Source organism: Homo sapiens, chromosome 8, assembly GCF_000001405.40.
Source record: "Homo sapiens chromosome 8, GRCh38.p14 Primary Assembly".
NCBI lineage: Eukaryota > Metazoa > Chordata > Mammalia > Primates > Hominidae > Homo > Homo sapiens.
Window position 1 is genome coordinate 43,017,334 of NC_000008.11, and position 14,769 is coordinate 43,032,102.

Below are 14,769 nucleotides of genomic sequence, written 5' to 3' on the forward strand. Positions count from 1 at the left end.
ACGGCTCACTGCAGCCTCAACCTCCTGGGCTCAAGCGAGCCTCCCACCTCAGCCTTCCAAGTAGCTGGGACTATGGGCATGCCATCATGCCCAGCTAATTTTTTTATTATTTTAGAGAGGGGGTTTCTTGTTATTTTGCTAAGGCTGGTCTTGAGCTTCTAGCCTCAAGTGATCTTCCCACCTTAGCCTCCCAAAGTGCTGGGGTTACAGGCATGAGCCACTACTCAGTTCTTAATGTTTCTCTGGCTAGGATTCTTCATTGTCTTATTAAATGAGTACCAAAAAACTGCTTTTTTCCTGATGTACTCATAGACTTCTGCCTTTAGTAAGTAGTGTCATTATCATATTCTTGTCATTCCTCCGCAGTCAGGTAGTGCCCTGGAGGTTTCCTCCCTCCTGTTAAGGTGCTCTGGGTCCAGCAGTTGCCTCCTCTCCCTTCTAAGTTAGTAGGCGATCCTTCTCCTGTCTTCAAGAAAGACCCCCTTCTCTCATTTGGGCCCTCTGTTGTGGACTGTCAGGAAGTTTTCTTAATTTGTTTGAGAATACAAATCTGCCTTGAAGTGAAGAAAAACAGCATGCTGGTATGTACAGTACCTAGTGTGGCTTTCCATCTTAAGAAACAACACAAGCATTTGTGTTTTTCATTCTAAATAAACCCTGTGATTTCTACCACCTGAGTGAATCAACTGCTACCAATCATACTCTTTTCCTTGGAAAAAAATCACTTTCTACATTTAATTTGAAAGGAAGTATGATTGAGTATGGGTAAAGTCTGTCTCTATCATCTGCTGTATTGTTTATTGTAAAATCAGACAATTAAGCCTGAATTTTTCCAAAAGAAAATTTGTGCCTAATTATGGGAACTAAAATGCCTCTATGAGATTTTAATCTATAGTGAGTAGTATTAACATTCCTAATTGTGCTTTATGATACACTGTAACAAATTCTGCATGATGAAATTTTCTTTTGTGAAGTATGTTCCACTATTTTTTCATTGATTCCTTTTTTTGTTTTAATGTTGCAGGGAATGACCCTGCATAAAAAGGCAGCTGAAGATAGACTGGCAAGCACAGGCTCAGGGCAGTCATTTCTGGCGAGGCAGAGGCAAGCGACCAGCAGCAGAAGATCATACCCAGGCCACGTGCAGCCGGCCACAGCAAGGTAGAGAAGTTGTGCCGCTCAATCACAGACACCTGCACCCACAACATACTTCTGTTACACACAAGAACATTTCAGGAAACTCAGCCAGCTTATTTTTTGTTTCTCTTCTATGTCAATACTTAGTGTTTCTCATTTTGAGGACTTTTTCTCTCTCCTGTATCTTTGTTTTAGTTTCTTTGGTTTTTATTTTGTAGTCCTTTCAGTTATTTTTAATGTGCCAAAAATTTGTACATGTTCAATTAAAAATGTTGTATAATAGTGTAATACTTTTCTTTGTATGAAAATGTCCTCTTCTTCAAAGGTATAGGCTTTGTAATGAATTAGATTTTCTGCCAATAATTGATATACAATTTATATTCTTTATTGTGCCTGTGTGTTACCATGCTAAGAATGTCTTTGTTTAAAGGGAATTAATCTTTTTATGATGTATTAATCTGTGTTTTCAATTGTTTTCCAAGTACAGTTCAAATAACTTGCATATTTACTATACAAAATGGTTGACAAGTGTTCTTTTTGCAAAGACTTGAATACATTGGCAGAGGTGCTAATCACATCTTCCCTAAGGCACCTGGAAGAATTATTTGAGGAAAAAATGAGTTTTCACATTGTTTTATAGGAAATTAAATTTGTCCAAAGATTTGGAGACTATTTTTAAAACATAAATACATAAAATTTCATTATTTCCTGCTATCTTGTTTGCTGGCAGAAGTGAATGTTTGGTGAGGTTATTTTGGGATAAATTACAAAAGAAAAAAAATTAGACACTGCATTAATTTCTTGTTCTTTTGGAATATCTTAGTAACTGAGGATCATTTTCTAACAATGTGGTTGACATACCTTCAGTTGCTTTCCACATCTAAAAGAGTTATCTTTCATATATGTACAAGTTATTGGTAGTCTTATTTTTGGGCTGTTTGTTGACTTATGCCCCATTTGTTTTACTTGTTCTTTAATATAAACCCTTCCATTTTTTAACAATTCCTAACACTTGATATCTTAATATCAGTCACTAACATTAGTAACTTCTTGTATGTTATATTATGGCAGATCTCTTTACGTTTTTTCTCACATCTATCTGCTAGTCCAGGAATTTGTTACTAAATAGATTTTCTTGGATATTTGGTTGCCTCAAAGTGCTTACATTTGTTAACAGATTGTAAACCACATTTATTTACATTGATGAATGGGCTGTTGAATAATCATTGTAAAGCACTTTGTATATATAAGGTGCTATATAAGTGTGAAATATCATTCATTTATAAATGAAATGCCTTCTAACTTTCCATATTGACTTATGTATTTGGTCCCAAATTATATTTAAGTCTTTTTTCTTGCAACGTAGCCCATTTTTTGAAAGCAAAACATTTCTGAAATTAGGTCATGGTTTTTTTGTTTATTTTTAGGTTAGGTCACTTAATATAGGAGGATGTTTTCTCATGTACTTGCTATTTGCAAGTTCAGGTTTCATTTGGTTCTTTATGTTAAATACGAATAAGTAACCTCAAATCAAGCTAAATGTAATTAAGAATTTTCAGCAACTATATTCAAGTGTTTGATTTTTAAATTCTTTCTTTCTTTTTAATAAGAAAGATGACCTAAAAATCAGTGGTATTTGTTTGTCCTCAGAAGCCGTAGTTGAAGAAAGATATTAGAGTATACACAGAACTGGAGCCATACATTGTGCTAATTTTTTACATTAAGTACAGAAGTCTGAGCACAGCATGAATGCTTCTGCCTGACAGGACCACAAAGCAGCAGAAGTTAGGGATAAATGGAGATAGCCATGAGTAGAACTGCTGTAGGGCTTCAGGAGGCTACGCAGACCTGATCAACTGCAAAGTTTCCAAAGTAAAAGATTAAAAACTTTCAGACGGTTCTTACCTCTACCCGTGTTTCACAAATAGCCTGAGGATCCAACTATTTTTAAAGCAAATTGGGGCCAGACGTGGTGCCTCACGCCTGCAATCTCACCATTTGGGAGACCTAGGTGGGGGTGGATCACTTGAGGTCAGGAGTTTGAGACCAGCCTGGCCAACATGGTGAAACCCCATCTCTACTAAATTACAAAAATTAGCTGGGCATGGTGGCATGTGGCTGTAATCCCAGCTACTTGGGAGGCTGAGGCAGGAGAGTCACTTGAACTCAGGAGCCAGAGACTGCAGTGAGCTGAGATCGCACCACTGCATTCCAGCCTGGGCGACAGAGTGAGACTCTGTCTCAATCAGTCAATCAATCAATCAATCAAATTGGAATATGAGCACTAACCTTGGTAAGTTAAAATTTTGGGAAAATTGTACCTGCAGAATATGATGGATGAAAACAACAGCCAGGTGCAGTGGCTCACGCGTATAATCCCAGCACTTTGGGAGGCCGAGACAGGCACATCATCTGAGGTCAGGACTTCCAGACCAGCCTGTCCAACATGGTGAAACTCCGTCTCTACTAAAAATACAAACAATTAGCCAGGCATGGTGGTGTGTGCCTGTAGTCCCAGCTACTTGGGAGGGTGAGGCAGGAGAATTGCTTGAACCTGGGAGACAGAGATTGCAGTGAGCCGAGATGGCGCCATTGCACCCCAGCCTGGCGACAAGAGCGAAACTCTGTCGCAAGAAAAAAAAAAAAAAAAAAAAAAAAAAAAACAGTCTGTGAACTACTCACTGAATGAATTTTGTTCTGTGAGATGAGAGGTTTTCATTTTCATTTTCTATTTACAGCCCCAGTCCTAATCTCCTACCCATCCACCTACCCAGATATTTTTTCTCTATCTGGGTTGGAAAGGCCCCAGGCTTTTAGAGGGGAGTTTTACTTCTGACTTTTTTTTCCCCCCGAGACGGAGCCTCGTTCCGTCACCCAGGCTGTAGTGCCGTGGCATGATCTCGGCTCACTGCAGCCTCTGCCTCCCGGGTTCAAGCAATTCTCCTGCCTCAGCCTCCAGAGTAGCTGGGATTACAGGTGCCCACCACCATGGCTGGCTAATTTTTGTAATTTAGTAGAGATGGTGTTTCACCATGTTGGCCAGGCTGGTCTCAAACTCCTGACCTCGTGATCTACCCACCTCGGCCTCCCAAAGTGCTGAGATTACAGGCACGAGCCACCGCGCCCAGTCGTACTTCTGACTTTTCTTCAGCATCTGTTGTATGCTATTATTTTGATGTTTACATTTATAATTTTCTTTCTTTTTTTTTTTTTTGTGAGATGATGTCTCGCTCTGTCACCCAGGCTGGAGTGCAGTGGCGCGATCTCGGCTCACTGCAAGCTCCGCCTCCCGGGTTCACGCCATTCTCCTGCCTCAGCCTCCTGAGTAGCGGGGACTACAGGCGCCCGCCACTACGCCCGACTAATTTTTTGTATTTTTTAGTAGAGACGGGGTTTCACCATGTTAGCCAGGATGGTCTCGATCTCCTGACCTCGTGATCCACCCGCCTCAGCCTCCCAGAGTGCTGGGATTACAGGCGTGAGCCACCGCGCCCAGCCTACATTTATAATTTTCATTCTCTTTTACCTATAAAATTCAGTGTATTAGTTTCATTACATAGGAGAAATTATATTTCTAAACATTTTATGATGTTTAAAAACAAAACAGGCTGTTGTAAAAAAAAAAAAAAAAAAAACTTCTGAATATACTTTAGGTATCAGAAAGCCAAGAATAAAATTTAGCTCTAACGGTGGCAACTCCATGTCCGGTGTCCAGCTTTGGACAGGGTTTATGACGTTTCTGTTTCTCTAGTAATGATTAATGATTCCTCAGGAGATTCGTGATGTTGTCTGGTCTATCTGGAAATTTAAAGTCACTAGGAGCTTTGCCTCATCGTGAGTGATGCTGTGCTGTATTTTTACAAACTCTCGCATACAGCACCTTCCTGGGGCCACGTTGGCTTGTGCAGTGGAGCTTGTCCAGGCACCAGCATGGAGCAAGTACAGGGTTGCTGTGTTGGGTTGGAGCACACTGTCACCACAGTGTCTGAAGTCTTATAAACAGGAAGATCATTTTCTGTTTTCCTTCTAACCAGGGTGAGAAAATACAAAGTAAAGAACTAAAGAATATTAAAACCTAGCATTTATGTTCCACAGTGTGTATTTCAGAAGTTTGTAATCCAGAAAATATAGTAGTGTATAATATCTGAAAAGAGAATCAAGTATACAATTGTACATATTTTTAAAGAACTTTGAAAAACTCCGTCATATCTTTTACCATTTGTCTATTTGATAGTAATGCAGAAAAAAGTCCCTAAAGACCCTGTGTTCCAAAATTTACCAAGATTGACATTTCTATTAGACATCCTTAACCTAAGTGTTTTAATTAGATTATTAGACTATAATAAGGATGAAATTGCTGTCTGTAATTTTGTTGAGGTTTTATTGTTAATATAATAAAAGCTCAACTGTACAAAATTAAGCTAAATGTTATCCAGTCAGAAACATCAGCCTGTGGCCAGGTGCGGTGGCTCACGCCTGTAATCCCAGCACTTTGGGAGGCCAAGGCAGGCGGATCACCTGAGGTCAGGAGTTCAAGACCAGCCTGGCTAATATGGTGAAACCCCATCTCTACTAAAAATACAGTATTAGCCAGGCATGGTGGCAGGCGCCTGTGATCCCAGCTACTTGGGAGGCTGAGGCAGGAGAATCATGTGAACCCAGGAGGTGGAGGTTGCAGTAAGCCGAGATTGTGCCACTGCACTCCAGCCTGGGCCACAGAGTGAGACTCCATCTCAAAAAAAAAAAAAAAAAAAAAAAGAAACATCAGCCTGTATATTCCAGTAGTTCTCACAGAAGAATGAAAATCCGTGCTGTGCAAATAGATCAGTAGTGAGTGAGTGTTAAGTGAAAGATGAGCTAGGTTGAAGAAAATATACATTTTATTGATGAGCCACTTTGCTATCTCTCCTTCCTTCCTCCTTCCTTCCTTCCTTCCTTCCTTCCTTCCTTCCCTTCTTTTCTTTTTTCTTTTCTTTTCTTTTCTCCCTCCTTTCTTCCTTCCCTTCCCTTCCCCTCCCCTCCCCCAGGCTGGAGTGCAGAGGCACGATCCTGGCTGACTGCAAACTCTGCCTACCAGGTTCAAGCGATTCTCCTGCCTCATCCTCCCTAGTAGCTAGGATTACAGGCATCTGCCACCACGCCCAGCTAATTTTTGTATTTTTACAAAATACAAAGAGACGGGGTTTCACCATGTTGGCCAGGCTGGTCTCTAACTCCTGACCTCAGGTGATCCGTCCACCTTGGCCTCCCAAAGTGCTGGGATTACAGGCGTGTGTTACTGCCCCAGCCTCCTATTTCCTTTTCGAAAGTAGCAGTTTGGTTTATTCTCGTTTGCTAAGTAATTGTTTGAAATATTTTTCAGCCTCTCCTGCTCCCTCACAAAAATTCACCTGTCATTTTAATGATAACAGCATGTTAAAAACTTGGAAGTCTTTATCCCAATATAAGAATTATCTTGAAACAAAAATCTAAATTACTTTTAAAAATTCTCTTAACTCTGCATTTAGTCTCCTATTATCTAGATCTCTGAGTCCAGGATAACTCCAGTTATCCCCAGTTGGATCATGTGTGATTTATCTGAGAAAGCATCCACAACCCACAGCTAGTGGAAACCGAGCTAGTTTACAGCCACGTGGATAAGAACATCTTTGTTTCTAAAGTGAGAGGAAAGTGCTTGGTATCTTGCTTTTTGCTGAGGGCAAAATAACAACATGAAGACAAAGTGCTTTTTGTTGTCTATTCATGAAACTGTAGAAGAATATTTTGAGTTTTTATTCTTATATTATGAAGGGATTCTTTGCCTAGCAGTGGCCGTCAAACTGATGTAGCATTGTACTTCTCAACAGTGAAGCCTGTGTAATACCATACAGTAGGATGAAAGACTATTCTGAGCAAAATCAAATGGGATGTCAGAATCTTTGAAAATTATTTTATCATTTTTTCTATTTTTTCATTTTTATAAATTAGAAGGATTTTCCATTCAATAAGGATAATCTCTCTTCCTATCATTCTGTCAAAATGGCAGTTTCTTTTGGTAATTATCCAACCTAGTTTCATTACATTTAGAAGGAGGTTTCAGAGCTTATTCTTGATAACTATAATAATGATTTGAATGTTTTATATCATGAAGTTTTTTCTATGAGGAAGGCTATTCTCAATGTATCTGTCGTCTAATTTTTTATTTTCTATCTATAAAGAATATTTAAATAATAATTGGTGTATGTTCCTTTTGTTGAAAATGTTTTATTGTCCAGTTTTAACACAGAAGTGGTCTAAAGTTTTGCAGCAAATGCTGTTCAGTTCCCAGAAGCCTAAAAAACATAACATAATATGCTAACAGAGCTAATTTCCACCCAATCCCTCAAATTACCGAAGTATTAATATTTAGCTTCCTTTCTAGAAAACAAGGGGCAGCACAAATGGGGTGGCATCCATCTCTTTTAAATCACTGATGATTTTCTGGGGAAGTATATATAGATGATTTTATTTTTTAAATAGCCTTTTATCAAACCATTTCACATGTATTATCTATATGACTATAGAAACTTATAAAACATTTAATTCATGTTGACTTAAAACATGGGCATCCTTGGATTCTCCACATTGACTGAAATGATAGAGAAAGGGACATTTGTTTGAGAAACAAGAGACCTGTACCTAATTATGGCAAGTATATGAGTTTTGGTGATTGTGGGGGGTTATAAATGTTTTCCTATGATAGATAAATATATAGATATAGATCAGGAATTACTTGATGTCTCTTCAGAAGTTTTCTGTTTTCTTATAATTTCCAGTAATACTCTGTAAGACTCGGTTTGCATGCTGTGTGTGTTTGCATGAGTATAGAAACCTAAGAACATAATGGAAGGCTATTAAGGCAAATTCATTCCTAGAAAGTGGAGTGGATCATTGGGATAAGAAATAGCCTAATTATAAACAAATATGCAGGCAGAGGGAAGTCCTAATACAATGAAAACTTGCATTATCTAAACAGATGTTCCCAAAGCAATAGTTTGCCTAAAATCCTCTGTATTACATGATTATTCAGTAAAAGAGTAAACAAATATCTAATTTATTTTCTAATTGTCCTTCCCTTCATTGAGTATTAACTAGGTGCATAATGTAGTTGTATATGTTTACTAGTAAAGGGAAAAACACTTATTTTCATTTTGAGACTGTTTGGCTATTACTAAAGCTGAGAAAGTGATTTTAGGTCGCCAAGGATACTATGATTTGATGAGATGAGAAGAAATCTGCGGTGGCTGAAAATCGTGACCAACTTGGTGTTATCTAGATCTGCTTTATCTAGTTTGCAAGCCATAGGCTCAATTTTATGTCCTTCTTACTTACACACAGTAGCCCCACACAGTTTTGTTTTAAATGAAGGCAAAAGTAGACATTTTTAAAGTATATTCAACATTGTGCCATTATTTACCTGATAAAGGTGAAATCAGAGGTGTCCACGGCCTCAAAGTTTGGGCCCATGGGACTATCAAATCCGAATTATATCTACTTAGAGCTTAGAGGAAGAATTAGGTATCATGAGAAAAGCAACTCCTACTTGAGAGAAAGAAGACTACCAAAGCATGTTGAGGCTTTAACATGGGAGACTTCCAGGTAGGCGTTAACACTTGAGTGGTAACTAGCTTGATGAAGGAAAATAATTACTTTAGCAGTTATGTTGTAAAATTAATAAAAAGGACTCATGTTTATTCTGGTGTATTTGTCAACCCATGGGTAGTGATTACTCCGTGTACATTCTATAGTGTGTGTATTTTATTTAGTGTCTTAATATATAGTCTTTATATAGTATCTTAATATTATTTACTGTTACTTCTAGTCATTTATGTAGTATATTTTACTGCAAAATTTGTAGCACTTTACTAATATTAGATCATTATTTTCCCTCTTCCCCTCTACCTTTCTGGCATTTTCTGTTATCTTAGAGTCAGGAATCTAAAGGTCTAAGTCTAGAAATCTGTTGGAAGCTGGGTTGGAGCTACTGGATATGAGTTACTTTTTACATGTCTCCTTAAGAAGACTCTTTTATAATGTAATACTTAGAAGCCAAATCCTTTCAAACGCAAACACCCTTGAAACTTGATGCTTTCTGAAGTTGTATTCATAAAAATTATCCCATCTTACAGTTAATCAGAAGATGTTCTTACCTTTGGTTTGCCTGCCTCCTGAAACACAAACCTGCAGATTGCCCCTAACTTCAGCAGTGCCTCCGTCACTGCATGTACCTAAAAGACAGGAAAGCCAAGTTCTGGGAGCTGTCAAGTCGGAGGATCAGGAAAATGGTGGGGAAGAGGTGACTGGAAAGGCAGGCACTAAAGATGGCAGGCTGCAAAAGCATTCTGAGTTCCCCTGTAACAGATAGGTTTTATGAACTCAGCTGTTTTCTTTTTTCTTTTTTTTTCTTTTGAGATGGAGTCTCACTCTGAGTCTCACTCTGTTGCCCAGGCTGGAGTGCAGTGGCACAATCTCAGCTCACTGCAGCCTCCACCTCCCGGTTTCAAGTGATTCTCCCACCTCAGCCTCCCGAGTAGTTAGGATTACAGGTGCCCACCACCACGCCCAACTAATTTTTGTATTTTTAGTAAAGACAGGGTGTCGCCATATTGGCTAGGCTGGTTTTGAACTCCTGACCTCAGGTAATCCACCCGCCTCAGCCTCCCAAAGTGCTGGGATTATTATAGGCGTGAGCCACCATGCCCAGTGAACTTGGCCATTTTCTTACATTCATATATAGCAAAGTTTTCAACTTGTCTACCGAGAGACTTTCTTTAGGAGCCAGGACTTCTACATTTGTAACTTGAGTATATTAATATTCAAATCATAGTTCAAAAATACTGAAATACTTGTTTATTATGTTACATAAATATGGACACAATTACTGCCAAAGAATAGAGAGATTTGCTTATGAGAACATTCTGTCATTTGTTCTGTTTGTAGATGAGAGACATGCTTTTAAAGTACAAAACGTTTCTCTTCTACCTTACCCCCTGTTCTACTGACGTGCTTTGCATGAGAAGCTCATCTAGAAGAGAGCAACGCTGGAATAGAGAAGTCTAGACCCTGGCCTTTGAGGGAAAGGACTGCTTTTTTTCTCTCCCAAATTAGAAAATTAAAAGTGAAACATAACACATAAGGACGAAATACAATGTTCTGAATATCTTCCACTAATTAATTGTTGAATGATTAAGTCTCTAAGTATCTTAACTTCCATTGTCTTCTTGTTAACCTAGACAAGAGTAGATTATTCAGTAGCCACATGTGACAGTTAAAATTAAGTAAAATTAAAACTATAGTTTCTCAGTGGCCTAGCCACATTTCAAGTGTTCCACAGTCACATGTGGATAGTAGTTACCTATCAGACAGTACAGGTATAGAACATTTCCAGTATTGCCAAAAATGCTATTCAACAGCACTTTTATTGCCCAGAGAGAAAATAAGGACAAAATAAAGGCAGTGAAGTAACTTAAGACAACTCTGAGATTTTACCACCATACTTAGAGAAAGTTTTTCTGTTATAAAAATTAATACTAATCCTTTTTAAAGACCTTGGAAAAAATCAAAACCCCATTCCTTTAAGCTAGTCTTCAGTATATATTTTTCTAAGAACAGATTCTCAATACTTTATTTTTCAAGTGATAAAATCATTTTATAAATCATTTCTTAATATCTTCAGTGTTTTTTCCCTTTTTATGTAAACTCTTTTAAAATTGATATTAGCTGGGCATGGTAGCTCATGCCTGTAGTCCCAGCTACTCCAGAGGTCGAGGCAGGAGCATCGCTTAAGCCCAGGAGGTTCAGGCTGCAGTAAGGTCTGATCACACCTGACTGCACTCCAGCCTGGGTGGCAAAGCAAGACCCCTGTCTCTAAAAAAAAATAATATAAATTGATGTTATATAGTTAACATTTATCAGGCAAATTCATATGAATGCTTATTTCAAATAAAGATTGATAGATTTAATGATATCCTTCCTTTTAAATTTATATAGATCTAATGAACATTGCCAACAGTTTTTTTTGTTTCTGTCCCTTAAACATTTCCCCTGAAAGTCCACCTCAAAGGTACATCAAGATGCAAACAATTTTTTTATCTTCATAACTTCCTGCTCTTATTAACTTGTATTATGAATCAAATTAAGTTTTATGTATAAGGCATTTACTATTCCAGTGACTTAGCTAATGAAAACATTTAAAAATATGTATTAATTTACTTGGCCTGCTACTAAAGTGCTTAACATAACTAAATGGATCTATAGTAACATGTCTAAATTTTTTAATGGAAATAAGGGACTAACCATAATCCTTTTGAGTCAGCTTGGTGCTTACAATTATTTTGTTAGGAAATCTTGATGCTTTCTTCTTTCTCTTTAAATTTTTGTAATCAAGCAACAGACTTGATCCAGCAGTGTCGAATTCCAAGCAAGTTATGATGATTCTTATTGTAGTTCAAGTACAGATGAGTAAGTGGTGTGACTTCAGTTTATTATCTTCTTGGTGACCTACTTTAGTATGTGTTCTGTAGCGATTCATATTAGTTAAGGGACGTTTTCAATATGCTTGAAATAAGAAATAGCATTTTACTCTAAATACAAGAAATGACTGTACACAAATGCTAATCAGTGATTTGGGGCCTTTTAATGTCTTTAACAGCAATCTTTTATTTATTTATTTATTTATTTTTGAGACGGAGTCTTGCTGTGTCACCAGGCTGGAGCAGTGGCACGATCTCGCCTCACTGCAACCTCCGCCTCCCAGGTTCAAGCTATTCTCCTGCCTCAGCCTCCCAAGTAACTGGGACTGCAGGCACATGCCACCACATCCAGCTAATTTTTGTATTTTTAGTAGAGACGGGGTTTCACCTTGTTGGCCAGGATGATCTCGATCTCTTGATCTCGTGATCTGCCCGCATTGGCCTCCTGAAGTGCTGGGATTACAGGCATGAGCCACTGCGCCCGGCCCAAATCTTTTATTTTTTAACAGCCTTAGTTATTTATAATTCAAATGCACTAAAATATCATCGCTGTCATGAACTTTGCTGTTTACAGGTTCTGTGTAATTCAGAATGCTTTGTACTTAGAAAATAATTTCTAGGCTTATCTTGTTTTGCAGTTTTCATGTTTTGACAATTGCCCACCATTTACAATACTCAATTTTTGATTATGAAATGAATAGTAAAATTCAAACATATCTAATAATAATTTGCCTTAGTTTGATTAATAAATTATATCAAAAAACTTGGGGATAGAAAGAGGCTTTTTTTTCCCCCTGTAGTATTTTTAAAACTTTTTAGATGAGCTGGATGAAACCTTAGTACATTGGAGCTGGAGTTGTATTGAGTACAGCCCCAACTCTGAAGCCTTATATTCATGTCTTAAGTACCATTGATTGTTCTGTGAATTGTTGTTAGTTTCATATTTGACATTGTAGTAATCCACCTTGCATTTTAGTCTTTGCAAAAAGGATATTGCTAGGTATATTCTTATTTCTGATTGAGTATTGAATTTACATTTTTCAGAATTTCATTCTTTGTCATTATAATCCAAAAACAATGTCCACATCAGACTTGGAACTTCTCACTTCAAAAATGAAATACAGATTTAGCAGTGTTGTACATAATGATGTCCAAGCATTTTTCCACCTGTTTACTGAGTTTTCCAACCATTTACTATGTGTTGAGATTGGTGGGTTTTCTGGCTGTTTTTCTGAGGTGAATGACTTGTTACAGAGCCTCAGTAAGAAATTTCAACTAAAATCACAAAAACATAAAGTCCAGGAAACCACCAGAAGATGGATTTTTAGTGTTTTTGAAATCTTGTATTTCCTTTTGATATCATTTACTCATTTTAATTTTACGACTGCCAACTTGTTACGGTATTAATTATATGTATGTGTTTATATGTATGCATATAATATATGTATATGTATATGAAGAATAAAGTTAAGATTTGGTCAAACTATATTTTCCCATTCAAGTACAAAAATGTTTTCAAGGCTGCAAAAAGTGTACAGTTGTTAAACAAGTTGTAAATAAAGACTTGTATAAAAATTCAGCCTAGATTTCTTTTTTCTGCTCTTAAACTCTGACAAATATACTTCATAATTGGTGATATTCTTCCACTCACCTTTGAGACTTGCCATTATGTCCTATCAATTTAAAGATTATGTCACTGGCTGGGAGCGGTGGCACATGCCTGTAATCCCAGCACTTTGGGAAGCCAAGACAGGCAGATCACCTGAGGTCAGTAGTTCAAGACCAGCCTGGCCAACACGGTGAAACCCCGTCTCTACTAAAAATACAATTGGCCAGGTGCGGTGGTTCATGCCTGTAATCCCAACACTTTGGGAGGCCGAGGCTGGCGGATTACCTGAGGTCAGGAGTTCAAGACCAGCCTGGCCAATGTGGTGAAACCCTGTCTCTACTAAAAATGCAAAAATTAGCCAGGCTTGGTGGCACGCATCTGTAATCCCAGCTACTCAGGAGGCTGAGGTAGGAGAATTACTTAAACCCAGGAGACGGAGGTTGCAGTGAGCCGAGATTGCGCCACTGCACTCCAGCCAATAAATAAATAAATAAGTAAGTAAATAAATAATCCAAAAATTAGCTGGGCGTGGTGGCATGCATGTGTAGTCCCAACTACTTGGGAAGCTGAGGCAGGAGAATTGCTGAACCCAGGAGGCGGAGGTTGCAGTGAGTGTAAGTCAGGAGTAGTATTTGGTTTTTTTCCAGTACTGGTGGTAGATTTCATGTTGATTTAGGCTGGTATTTTATGTTTGTAAGCTGATTAGCCTTTGAGGATAAAAATGAAACATGGCTGCTTCTCTCTAGAGCTAGCATGTTGCCATGATTGATTTTGCCACAGAGAGTATAGTATTCTTTGTGATAAGGTCACAATGTAAAGCATTGTTGACACCCTATTTAGGCAATAAATGCACTTTTCCTGCCTTCTTAGATCCTTACAATTTATCCTTTTCCCCCAGCTCTCCCCTAGTCATTGAAATCTGGCATCTTTGTTGTTATTTAAAATGGTAGTAGCAGAATGGAAGTGGATTATATTTACATTAAATATCAACTTGTTAGTTCCAAAGTGAAGTTAGCAGCAAAATAAAACTAGTATATATTTAGCCAAAATAGTACCCATTTTAATGTCAGAAAAATAAATACAAGTTTTCTTTACTCATTTGCTTGGAGATACCCATATTTTTTTTTTCTTTTAAAAGCTTTTTTATTTTAAATTTTTGTGGGTAAATAGAAGGTGCTTCATGAGCATTCTTCCCCATGTCTGTGGACAACATCTGCAACTACCGATATACCTAAAATTAGAATGCTGAATGGGTAGTCGTACTGGTTTCCAAAGGGGTTACACCAATTTATTTATATTTTATTTTATTTTTTAAAGAGATTCTCTCCATGTTGCCCAGGCTGGTCTCGAACTCCTGAGCTCAAGCAATCTTCCCACCTTGGCCTCCCAAAGTGCTGGGATTACAGACGTGAGCCACTGTGCCTGGCTGATGATACCAATTTATGATTTTACCTGGAATCATCATCTTCTTTAAGTTAAAAATGTCTGGTTTGTTTTTTTTTTTTTAAATCTGTATTGGCCGGGCGCAGTGGA

General features: G+C 37.9%; 1 protein-coding gene across 1 annotated transcript in view; it reads left to right on the forward strand.

Annotated features, from left to right (window-relative positions):
* Positions 1 to 13,202, forward strand: part of HOOK3 (hook microtubule tethering protein 3) — a 133,558-nt gene extending 120,356 nt beyond the window's left edge. Inside the window, exon 22 of the mRNA NM_032410.4 lies at positions 1,025 to 13,202. Within this exon, the coding sequence (NP_115786.1) occupies positions 1,025 to 1,165 (141 nt within the window). The 3' untranslated portion in view covers positions 1,166 to 13,202. The remainder of the gene's footprint in view (positions 1 to 1,024) is intronic.
* The last annotated feature ends 1,567 nt before the right edge of the window (positions 13,203 to 14,769 follow it).